The following is a 13,117-nucleotide window of genomic DNA, read 5'->3' on the forward strand; positions in this document are numbered from 1 at the left end:
TTTAGCTCAGCTGGGATTCCTTTGGTCTGCCAATTTTAAAAAGTTACATCATCACCTTATTCCAAAAAATGCCCCTAAGAGAAAGTCTCTTGCCCTCACAACTGTTCAAATTTAGGATGGAAAATAGATTTTAGTTTGCATGCCAATTTGATTAATTGTACTCACTGGTGATTCTTAGCATACTCTGTGTAAGATCTGAGGTTATAGTTTTACCTGGTGGATTTGCAATGTCTACCATAAATTAAGTAGAGAGGAGAAGAGGCATGGTTGCCTTGTGAGTGCATGATTCAGTGAGTTACTGTTATCTTAATTTGTTGTGTATTAGATGTTACTTCTTTATAAACTATTGATCCTATTTAGCTTCTCAGGGGCCCCCAAAGATGTCCACATCCTAATCCCTGGAATTGGGATAACAGTGAGTCTTCACTGACCTGAGAGATTAGATGATCACTGATATGTAATTGGCAGTCAAGTTTGACTTCTCTTTCCATTGTTGTTGTTATGTAAATATGTCACATGGCAAAGGAGAATTAAGATGGAATAAGTTTGCCAATCAGCTAAGGTAGGGAGAGAAGCCTGGATTACCTATGTGTTACCAGAAAAGGGATCTCATCCCAGACCACAGGAGTGAGTTCTTGGATCTCACATAGGAGAGAATTCAGAGTGAGTCTCAGAATATAGTGAAGTTAAAATAGTTTCTTAGAAAATACTCTATTACAGAGTAGGGCTTGCTGAGAAAGCAAGAGGAGGAATGTCCCTACCTCAGACATAAGGCTTACTTACATGGGATATTAAGGCTAAGAATAGTGTACTTTATTACAAAAGGTTGTGTTGAGCTTATGACAGACTTAGTATTACTATTCTCTTGTGCAATTATTACTTTTAGCAAGAATTTATGAGGATACTATTACCTTTAGAGGGAAACCTATTTTTAAACTAAGAATGCCTTTTCCCATTAGCTCGTTTCCTCAACCATAAACATCTTGTGATCAATAACGCCTAACTTCCTGGAAATGTAACCCAGCAGGTCTTGCTTTATCTGGCTTTTATTCAAGGTGAAATCACTCTGGTTAGGATGTCTCTGACATAGGTGGGCACATTGTAATCACAGGGTCCTTAGAAGTGGAAGAGGAGCCGGGTGCAGTGGCTCATCCCTGTAATCCCAGTGCTCTGGGAGGCTGAAGCTGGGGGGATCGCTTGAGACCAGGAGTTCAAGACCAGCATGAGCAACAAAGAGCTCTCCCCCATCTCCCGCCCCTTGTTCCTCCCACCTCACCATCCCCCTCCCCCAGGCTCTACAAATGTTAAAAAAAATTAGCCAGGCATGGTAGTGCACCTGTGGTCCTAGCTACTTAAGAGGCTGAGGTGGGAGGATTCCTTGAGCCCGGGAGGACAAGGCTGCAGTGAGCTATAATCACACTACTGCACTCAGCCTGGGTGACAGAGCAAGACCCTGTCTCAAAAATATAAATAAATAACAATGAAAGTGGAAGAGGAGACACAAAAGAAGTCAGAGGGACTCCTTTTGTGACAACAGGAAAGAGACCCAGAGAGTTGGTAGCATAAGGACGCTGCTTGACATTGCCAGCTCTGAAGACTCATGGAGGGAGCCAAGAGTTAGGGACGGAACTCTAGAAGCTGGAAAAGGCAAAGAAACAGATTCTCCTCTTGAGTCCTCAGAAAGGGATGCACCCTGTTGGCACCTTGATCTCAGCCCAGTGGGATCCATGTCAGACTTCTAATGCACAGAACTATAAGATAATAAACTGGTATGTTTAAGCCACCAAGTTTCTGGTAATTTATTAACAGCTGCAAGACAAAACTAATTCACAAAATATGGCTTATTCTACCTTTAAAAAGGAAAATGTGACTCAGTCCTCTCCCAACTGCTGATCCATTGGCTTTTCTGGATGCTACTTTCAAATTCATTGCTAGTTTCTTCTCATAATTGTAGGATCGAGTCTCTCAACCTAAATATTACTTTTAGTGGCAAAAACTGCAATTACTTTTGCACCGACCTAATATGTTGTAGTAAATTGTATGAGAAGCAAGCAGCTTTTATCATTGCTGATAAATGGCCTTTTAATCTCCCTTCTTTCCAAATAATTCTTGTCTATCTAGTCAGACCACAAGTCATTAAGCAATTAAAAGACAATATAAAATAAAGCATTTGAAATTCAAGCACTCTAGGCCAGGCATGGTGGCTCACGCCTGTAATCCGAGCACTTTGGGATCGCTGAGCACTGATTGCTTGAGCCCAGGGGGTGGAGGTTGCAGTGGGCTGAGACTGGGGCACTGCACTTCCAGTCTGGGTGACAGAGCAAGACTCTGTCTCAAAAAGAAAAAACAAACAAACAAAAGAAATTGGAGCGCTGTAATGTAAAAAAGGAGAGAGGTTAATATTAGCTAGAGTTACTAGCTATGGCTTTAAGGAAAAACTATAATCACTGAATATCAGATTTATAAAAAATAGTTATTAAAAGAACCAACTATCAGTTCATAAGCATTATCTTATATAATTGATAGAACAACCTTATAAAGTAGGAATTATTGTCTCTATTTTACACATGAGGATATCAAGGTCTAGTCTAGGAATTAACTTGTTCAAGTAGGATTATAGAAGTTCTTTGGATACAGTTAGATAATATTTTCCTTTGGGGTAAAAAGATTTGATTTCTGACCTGTTCTCTCAAATCTGTAGTTTAATGACATGATACACTTTTTGAAACAGTGGGAATATGTAGATGGTTGCTTTAATCTCAGGAACTATGATTGCTTTTTAAGAGGCAATAGCCCTAATATTTAGTAATAACCAAAGCAATGTCTATAGCAATGCTTCTCAAATTATGTGGCATTTTAGGAGCACCCGAAGAACTTTAAAGAGTCCCAATGTCCAGGCTACACTCCACACCAGTTAAATGCAAATGTTTGAAGTGGATTTAGACCTCAGTGTTTTTTTTTAAAGCATCCAAGGAAATTCCAAGTTTGGGAACTCTTGATCTATAACCAGGGATTGCATTTTTGTTAGTTTTCTCCCCAGCATTTAACTGGTTTATTGTATGTAATATTCAGTTACATGAGATTACATTTTTTTTTAACCACCCTGTTTTGAGGAGTCACCAGAAAGTTGTTTCTCGAGATTAGAAGCTTAATGAAATTCAGGTTGTGTTCAACTATAGATTCATTTTTAATGGGTTTTGGATTTCTGAGCCTGCTGGTGATATTTCCTAACATTTTTTCTTAATTTGTGTGACATATATATATATATATATATATATATATATATATATACACACACACATTTTTTTTTTCCGTTTGGAACCCTTCCAATGCCTTCACTCTCTGTACTTTCTCTATTTTTTTTTCCCCCTGTGGATTTCATCTGACTGGAAGTACTTTTTCTATTTATATCGCTAGTACATGTTTAAAGAATGTCTATCATTCTAGTCTATTACTATTAAGTTGGTCATATTATACTGACATTAAGACAAAAACTCAGAAGCAGGAAAACCTTTTAAACTGTACGTAAATAAAGGAAATCCAAACAAAGACACTACCAGTCTTGTGATCTGAGTTCCTACAGAAAGGGTAGAAAACTCATATCCCAATGGGGCCAGTCAGGAAGTCTAAATAAATGAAATGGATCAGTGTTTGAGGAAAGAATGAGAGGGAAAAAGATAGAGAAGGAAGCTAGAGAAAGAGGGAAGATAGAATAAATAATGTCCATTGTTGCCAGATTTTCCAATTTTTAATGAAAGGCCAGTTAAGCGTCTATATATATTTTTAATGTCTGCTCAAAAAATCTTAAACCACTGTGTTATTCAAACAAAATATGTCTGTGCTTGGAAGTCAATCCACTGGCCTCCCATATGCAACATTTTAAGCACAGACAGTAGTGCATCTAAAGGGGTGAGCAGCCTCACATGAGTCTCCTTGGAATCTAGCCTTAAGTAGAATGATAGCAGATGATGCAATCCTAATTTTCTTTTTTTGAGATGGGGGTCTCACTATGTCACCCAGGCTGGACTAGAACTCTTGGGCTTAAGGGATCCTCTTGTCTCAGCTTTTCAAGAAGTTGGGACTACAGAAACACGCCACTGGACCTGGCTGTCTGATTTTCTTTTTAATTTGAAAGAAAAGATCATTGGCTCTGTGACATCAGCAATGAATTAAGATTATTTAATGTGACTATTTATCATGCTTTGTTTATATTACAGCATGATAAAATATATATATTTTCTGAAGCATAATCGTTTAATCTTATGACTAGGGATACTATCATAATACAACAATTCTGCATTAATTAGTGTAATTGCCTGGAGTACTATTTTGTTTGTTCTGTGTAGCTAACATTTATTCTCTATTAACAGTATCGATCAGTAAAGAATTAGGGAACGAAGACTAATCCATGGCTATAAAAGCTGTCTTGGAATTGTGATGACAGTGGCTTTTGAGGTAGAACAGTTATTGAGGGACAGGATTTAAGAGTGAGCAGAAGGATAAGAGTCCAGGAAAACTGAGTTCATACCTGATGGTGGGAAACTGGTGGAGTTATTTACTTAAAAGAGGCTTTAATATGAATGGGGGAATTCAAGATTCCATTTTTATGAATATTTTTATCTCTTGCTTTAGTCATTATCTATTAAACTTAAAGAAGACATTCCTTCTTTCTTCGTTGTCTTATTATTGGCAAAACGTGTAGAACAAATTCACCATTTCTCTGAGATTCTTCCCCTATGCCCTTCAGCTTTTGTTTCCTTTGTGCTAGATTACTAGAATTACAGTAATAGTAGACATTGGCTGTAGTTGATGATTTCTGATATTCTAAAGAGTGTTAAGATGCATTACCTGCAAGCCCCCATGGCTGGAAGCATAATCTTTTTTTCTTTTTTTCTTTTTGCTTAGCCACTGACTTGCAAAATGTGATTTCTCAATAAATTTATTGCCACTTTCCTTTTAGCTCTACCCTCTGGTTAGTTTCCTGAAGTTTGCTAACAGTAAACTCTTTATTCCACAAAATAAAAGTAATACGCAAAAAGGCCAGTTTATTTTAACTCCCTGTGTAACCAAGGTGAAAAAGAAGTGATGATAATAATCCCTCATTTTCTAATATCATAAAATTTGATAGCTGGCAGGGATTAAAAACATAGCTGGTTGAGCTCTTCTGTTTACAGGGTGGGCTAGTGATTTGGCAAGGTCACACACCTGGGCAGTGGAGGTGCTGGGCCCTAACCCTCAGGTCTTGACCTGCACTTCATTGTAAAGCTCCTCCAGGTTTTCAAGGCATTTCCACATTTGGTCCTTCATAGGCAGGGTGGGAATTACTAACTCATTTTAGAAATGATTAAACTGGGTTTCCAAGGGATGGAAATATATTCAAGGTCAAATCATTAGAAGCCAGAGTTCTTCATCATATCCAGAAGCTCTCAAAGGTTGAGAATGCCTAAGCCAGTTCCATTTCTTAAGTCTCCCAATATCTTTAAAAATGAAGAAATGCCAAGCAGGATCACATTTATTTGAAATGCTTACATTTAACAAGCCAACTCTTTTAACATGACTCCCAGCCTTCAAGGCAACTGTAAGTTCACCTGGACATAATGTCTAAAGTCTACCTTTCAGACTTTAGTGAATATGAGGGCCAGGTTAAATTGTCCTTGTGGATGAATCCTGACTTTGTGGAGGGGGATGTGATCTTTGGTGGGGGAAGGAAGGAGAGAGAAAGAAAAAGACAGATAAATGGAAAGACAGTGAGACCATAGCACCATCATCTGATACCATAGCACCTGCCAAAAATAAAACACTCAACACTTTGGGTTTCTTATATAGCTCCATAATTTCTATGCAGAAGAGGTAACAGTAGTTGCAATCTTTGTCTTGAAGCTTCATTTGCATAGTTCTTTAAGATTAAGGATAATTTATCAAAAAATGAAGATGTGGGTGGGGGTAGTAATTGGCAGAGATTATTAGGCATGGATGAAAGGGTGGGGTACAATGAGAAATAGATATTTGGCATTTGTTCCCAGTTCCTGGCATACAGTCCTAAAACCCTTGGAATCTCTGCAATGCTAAGAGTGATTTTTGTTATGTTAGTGAGATGGCTGGTGGCTGAGGACCCCTAAATAGCTTCAAGATAGGGACTGCTTGACAAAAAGACCAAGGCATGATCTTGGGGAGGGGAGAGGGACTGGAGGTTGAGTTTAATCACCAATGGCCACTGATTTAATCAATCATGCCTACATAATAAAAACTCCATAAAAAACCTAAACAACAAGGTTCAGATGGCTTCTGGGTTGGTGAACAAATCAAGGTGCTGGGATCCGGGAGAAGGCGTGGAAGGTCCTCATCCCTTCCCTATACCTGAACCTATGCATCTTGTCCACCGGGCTGTTCCTGAGTTACACTCTATAATAAACCAGTATTAGTAAGCAAAACACTTTCCTGAGTCCTGTGAGCTGTTCTAGCAAGTTATTAAACATGAGGAGGGGATTATGGGAACCTCGATTTTATAGCCTATCAGAAGCGTCAATGGCAACTGGAGACTTTTGACTGGTGTCTGAAATGAGGGCAGTCTTGTGGGACTGAGCGTTACTCTGGGGTCTGAACTAATGCTGGGTAGTTAGTGTCAGAATTGAATTGTATCCTAGAACACCCAGTTGATGTCTGGAGAGTTGGAGAATTTGCTGGTATGGGAAAAATCCCGCACACATTTGGTGTCGAAGTGTTGTGAGTGAAAACCGTTCAGGGGGGTTGGGTGGGAAAGAGCATCTAAATGATCCTTGACTCTCTCACCTGTTTTTAATTCAGTGTAGACTGAACCACCAGCTGACTTCTTTTAAAGGGAAAGGAATTAAATCTCAGCCCAGACATGGGATATTTTCCTTTTCCCCTTCATTTCTTCCTCCCTCCCTGCTTTCTCTCCTCTCTCCCTCCATCCCTTCTTTCCTTCCAAATATATTTATCAAGCATTTATTATGTTCTAGGCCTTGGGCTATGGAGTTGAGCAGGACCCACAAGGCCCTACTCATATGGGGCTTAGAGTCCACTAGGGAAAAAGAGAACAAAGAAATGACATAATATAAGTAATCAATAATATAATGAAACCAAAAGTAAGATGGTGAAATAAAAAGTAATTGCTACAGTAGGATAGGCAAATATTTCCTAGTTTCCTGGGATACCTCACTTATCCTTTTTACTCTGATAAAGCATTGGGCAGAGACAGTAAAATTTTCATCAGCCATTCCAGGTAAAGCAGCAGCATGCCAGGATTGACATGTACGTACACACAGGTATAAATATGCACACTTGAGCATATAAACACAAATGCATGAGGCAATATAACATGACTGATCAACAACAGAACAAAATCAGGGCCGGGGCAGTGGTTCATACCTGTAATCCCAGCACTTTGTGAGGCCAAGGCAGGCAGATCACTTGAGGTCAGGAGTTCAAGGCCAGCCTGGCCAACAATAGTGAAACCCTGTCTCTACTAAAAAAAAAAACACAAAAATTAGTCAGGTGTGGTGGTGCACCTGCAATTCCAGCTACTCATGAGGCTGAAGCATGAGAATCACTTGAACCCAGGAGGTGGAGATTGCAATGAGCTGAGATCAAGCCACTGCACTCCAGCCTGAATGATGAAGTGAGACTCTGTCTCAACAACAACAAAAAACAAAAACCAATAGAACAAAATCAGAACTTGGTCAGATAGTCTCTTGGAGGAAGTTCCTTTGGGAAGTTATGCCAGTATTACATTGAAGATGCTATTACTAAAACAGCTTAAAAATTCTCTTTTGTGATTGCCTGTGATTAAGTACTCTATGATAGTTTCTTTTGAAGGAATTTCCAATCCTAGCAAAATGTTTTTAAAGATGAATTTAAATTTTGTCAGAAACCAAATATGTTTGGGGGTCATTTCTGGATAACATCTTTTTGGTTTACAAACCAAGTGTGAAGCAAATCTAAAAATATTTTGAACTGGGGGTGTGAGAGAGGCAAGCATAGTAGTTGGAATAAATGTGTCTTTTTTGAAGATGTGGTTATCTTGAGGGAAGCAACATTTTATTTGAATAAGTAAATTTAGATGTATTTGCTATAAATCTGTTTTGTTTATGCAAAGTAATACTTCTTAATATTTGGCTAGACAAACCCAGATTTCTATAAAACAGAAGTTAGCTGCTTTAGAGATCACCAACATACTACTTTCGTTTCATTTTTGCTTTATTTCTAGCAAAGCCCACTAAAGGGATTCTGTCCTCTTTTTACTGACTGTGGCCTTAGATAAAGAATTCTTCAAATTCTCTCCTCTTTACCATCCCTGGCTCTTTCCACATCAAGCTGCAAAGCCTAGGAACATAGTGAAAACTGGTAGAAATGTCTCACTGTGCAGAAATTCTCATAGTTTTCAAGGCATTTGCTGGTTTTGTTACTCTAAAGCCTCATAAAATAGGCAGGGTAGAAATTATTGTGCCATTTACAAATGATTAAACTGGTTCTCTGAAGATGTGGAACTGTATACAAGGTTACACAACTGTAGCATGAAATTGGGTAGATTATTTCTATAGTCCCATATCAATTCTATAGACTCTCTAGAAGGACACTTTGCTGAAGGCTTGGAGAGAACTTGGAGAAAGCTCACGTCTGGTTTTAAAATTTGGGATATTTTTATCATGTTTATCATCATTTGTTCAAATAACTTCAAGAGTTTTATGTGTTTGTGTTTCAGTGTTTACGAAATCATGCAGCTATTTTTAAATGGTTCGGTATTTATTTTGGACTGTAATCCAGATTCTGCTCACAACCGCTGTTTTTCACTGGTCAGCTCTTTCAGTGTTGTTAGCTGTTTATCACGATTATGATCAGTTTAGGAGAGATTTGAGGACAACTCAGTAATTATTGATGTCTTTGCTATTCATCATTTGATAGATGGTTTTTAAAGAATATTTAAGGAGATAGAACTTGCTACTGATGAACACTCCACTAAAATTACAGTCTTTCTTAAATCACAGGAAAACCATTTTTTTTTTTTTGACATAAAACAGCTCTTCTAAGTGCTGGAATGTGTAATTTAAGGCTCTGACTACTACTTAGTTTTTCAGAGAATTTTCACATATGTTATCTCTACCAAGCCCTATGAGTGGGAAGATAATGTAAATTCCTTCAGTTTTCAGATTAGGAAAAAGCAAGGCTAAATCTGCCTAGTGTCATGTGGACACTAGTGGTGGAACAAGAACCCTAACTAACTCCCAGTTTGCCTTTTGACCAGCCTTTCTACATGCAATGATTGTGGCCAACCAGCTAATGTTTCAGTATTTGAGAAAAATAACAGTTTGTATCCTCTCCTGCTGTGCCAAGCCACACTTACCAGCTCCTTTCTATCTTTGTCCACATAAAAAAAACCCTCAATCTTAGATTTTATGTGCTCCTTTTGTTCATATATATATTTAAGGTATACAACGTGATGTTTTGAAATATAGTGAAATGGTAACTGTAGTCAAGCAAATTAACATACCCATCACTTCACGTGGTTGCTTTTTTGTGTGTGGGGTAAGAGAACCTAAAACTACTCTCTTAGCAATTATCCTGAGCATGATACAATATTATTATCTATAGTACTCATGTTGTACATTCAATCTCTAGACTTATTCATCCTATACTTGCAAGCTCTTTTTGATTTAAAACATTGGCTGCTCACTAGCCAGAGTCCTCATTATCTGTAATACATATTCCTCCACTTGGTTTTTATTTTATTTAACTCTCTAGTATGCTATTTAGTCTGATTTTTAAAATTCTTCATGTATTCAACCCAAGTTTTGCCAGTATAACTAGGTATGTATGGATAGGGACAGACATATTTTTCCATGTACAACTCAGCTACCTATTTTATTTTTTCCTCAAAGTTTGTTGATTTTGGCTTTGCAAGATCTATATTAAAGGGACAGTTTTCCCCACCCTCTTTCTTATTAATTAAGTCATTCCTTTCCTGAAGTAAAGACCATCAGAAAGGACCATTGCCAGGTGCTGTTTTCTTTTTCTTTTCTTTTTTTTTTTTTTGAGACATTGTCTCGCCCTGTTGCCCAGGCTGGAGTGCACTGGCGCGATCACTGCAAGCTCTGCCTCCTGGGTTCACGCCATTCTCCTGCCTCAGCCTTCTGAGTAGCTGGGACTACAGGCACCTGCCACCACGCCCAGCTAATTTTTTTGTAGTTTTAGTACAGACGGGGTTTCACCATGTTAGCCAGCATGGTCTCGATCTCCTGACCTCGTGATCCGCCCGCCTCAGCCTCCCAGTGCTTGTTTCTTTTTACGTCTCACACTTTTAATTTTTCTCCCTATTAAAAGGATGTCCTTTTGTTTCGAACTGATGTCCAGATTCAAATGAACTGCCTTAGTCCATTTTGTGCTACTACAACAGAATATCAGAGACTGGGTTATTTATTTATTTTTAATTTTAAATTTCTTTTTTTACAAAGACCAGGTCTTGCTCTGTTGACTAGGCTGGTCTTGAACCCCTGACCTGAAGAGATCCTCCTCCCTCAGCATCCCAAAGTGCTGGGATTCCAAGTGTGAGCCCAGCTAAGGCTGAGTCATTTATAAAGAAAAACAAATTATTTGGCTCATGGTTTTGGAGGTTGGGACATCCAAGATAGAGGGTCAGCATCTGGTGAGGACCTTCTTACTGGGTCATCCCATAGTGGAAAGGGGATGGGCAAAAGAGCATGTACCAGAGAATGAGCAACAGGGACCAAACTTGTTTTTATAACAAACCCAATCTCTCTATAACAAACCCACTTCCATGACATTAGTTCATTAATGTCATTAATGTCTGCCTCCATTGCTCTGTCCTCATCACCTAATCATTCCTAAAGATCTCATCTCTCAACACTTGCACTGGGGATTAAGTGTCCAAAACATGACACATTCAAACCATGGCATGACATTTCAAATAACTGTTTTCAGGGCCAGATGTATAATTTGTGGGGTGCAGTGTATAAAAAATACGTGGGGCCCTTTGTTCAAAAAAGAGAATAAAAGTACCATTAAAGGTACTAAACTATAAAGCTTTCTTCTTTAAAGATATTTTACCATTTATAGAACATTAAAGGAGTAATAGTGACACATGAGTAACAACATAAACTTACCAATTACAAAAAGCAGAATATTTTTGGTGTTGTAATTTTTTTTTTTTTTTTTTTTTGAGATGGAGTCTTGCTCTTTCGCCCAGGCTGGAGTGCAGTGGCGCTATCTCAGCTCACTGCAAGCTCCACCTCCCGGGTTCAGGCCATTCTCCTGCCTCAGCCTCCTGAGTAGCTGGGACTACAGGCGCCCGCCACCGTGCCCAGCTAATTTTTTGTATTTTTAGTGGAGACGGGGTTTCACCATGTTAGCTAGGATGGTCTCGATCTCCTGACCTTGTGATCCACCTGCCTCGGCCTCCTAAAGTGCTGGGATTACAGGCGTGAGCCACCACGCCCGGCCTGGTGTTGTAATTTTATATAATAAAATTAATAGTACTACTTTATTATTGTAAAATCTTAATTGATTATAAGACTTTTCTGGCTTGCTTTTCTGCAAATTCATTTATTAGATCATCAAAATTTGTACTTTTCCATCAATCTAATTAAAAGCAATTCTGGTCACTCTTGGCAAATGTAAGATGGCAAATAATTTTTTATAATTTGTAATTTTGATAAGATTCTATTGATGCTACTGTTATGGAGTTATTAAGACTATTTTTTGACTGTGATAACATTGGCATAAATTTCTGATAAATTGTTGTGACACATATATTTTAGTATATCCAGGGCTGATAATTCTTGGGGAACAATTTTTCTAAAAATAATTTAACTCTTCATAAATTGTGTGTTTGAATTTAATTTTTAATGTAAATGTATACAATGGCATTTATTTTTTTCCTCTGGTATTTTCTGTAACTTGCAGAGACCAATACAAGAAACTAGATAGAGGCTTTATGTTATGTATATAATTGAAAATGCCCTTTTATGAATTCTATTGCTGTATCTTTAATTACAAGAACAAAATTAATTTAAAAACTGTTTCCCTTGTTAATAATTGTTTCAGCCAAAGCTTCATATGAAAATAGAAGTCTCTCTCACTGAATGTGACAATTTTTGAGTGTAATTTCCCTTTTTAAGCCTGTAGATATTTACTTTGCAATATTGCAGCAGTTTTCAAAAGCAGAGATTCTAAACTCTTTCAATAATTCTAATCCCTGACATGCTCCAGTTCCATGTCCATGTGTACAGACTTTTATTTTGTAATAATTTACTGTCGAAATTTACTGCCTGAGTGCCCGCAATTATAGTCCCAGCGCTCTAGGTAGAGGGAGAGTTAATATTTGTGCAGATGTGGCAAGGACAGGCTCTGGAGACACAGGGCAAGCTGGCTTTCCTCTGCAGGTGCTGCATTTATACAGAGCCCATTCTCTCTCCTGTATCTGCTGCCATTTCTCCTGCTCCACTACTTCTGCTGCTGCTGTCACTGTTGCTATTGTCAATCTTGGGCCAGGTCCCAGCTCGGTTGTCCCCACAAGCCCCCTGGACTTCCCAGAGGGACTGCCGTGCATGCCTGCTGCCCGCCGGGCTGGTGGTGGTGAGCCCTTTGTGGATGGGCTGCTGGACCACAACAGGTTGCATGCAAAGTGGTCCAGCATCTAGCCTCTAGTTATGCGCATGTGTCACTGTCCCCTCAGCCTTCACCACAGAACACAAGTTCAAAGATAAAATAGTAAGAGTTTTAAGACACCAGGACAGAGCATTAAGCCAAGTGCAGGCCTTGCGCAAATGCAGACTACAAGCCCTTGAAGCCAGTTCTGATCATTATGCCTTTCTGAGCAATTACTCCACCCTGAAATCAGAGATTACTGCAAGACAGTTAGAACTTGTCAGTCTCCATTGTTCTGCCTAGCTTTATGACACTGTCCAATATCAACCTCACCCATTCTTTTCTCCAGACTTGCTCCAACAGGGCTTATTGCCCTCACTCTTGCATACTACCTACCCTTGCTTACCTACTGTTAGTCCATTTGCATTGCTATTAAAGGAGTACCCGAGGCTGAATAATTTGTAAGGAAAAGAAGTTTATTTTAGCTCACGGTTCT

General features: G+C 38.7%; 1 annotated feature.

Annotated features, from left to right (window-relative positions):
* Positions 12,609-13,117: an enhancer, noted in NCBI's record as "H3K27ac-H3K4me1 hESC enhancer chr12:77313616-77314124 (GRCh37/hg19 assembly coordinates)". NCBI's record gives its function as "activates a minimal SCP1, AML or CMV promoter by ChIP-STARR-seq in primed H9 embryonic stem cells {active_cell/tissue: H9 hESC(primed)}" and the evidence as "EXISTENCE:reporter gene assay evidence [ECO:0000049][PMID:30033119]".

The sequence above is a fragment of the Homo sapiens genome, chromosome 12, assembly GCF_000001405.40.
Source record: "Homo sapiens chromosome 12, GRCh38.p14 Primary Assembly".
Lineage (NCBI taxonomy): Eukaryota > Metazoa > Chordata > Mammalia > Primates > Hominidae > Homo > Homo sapiens.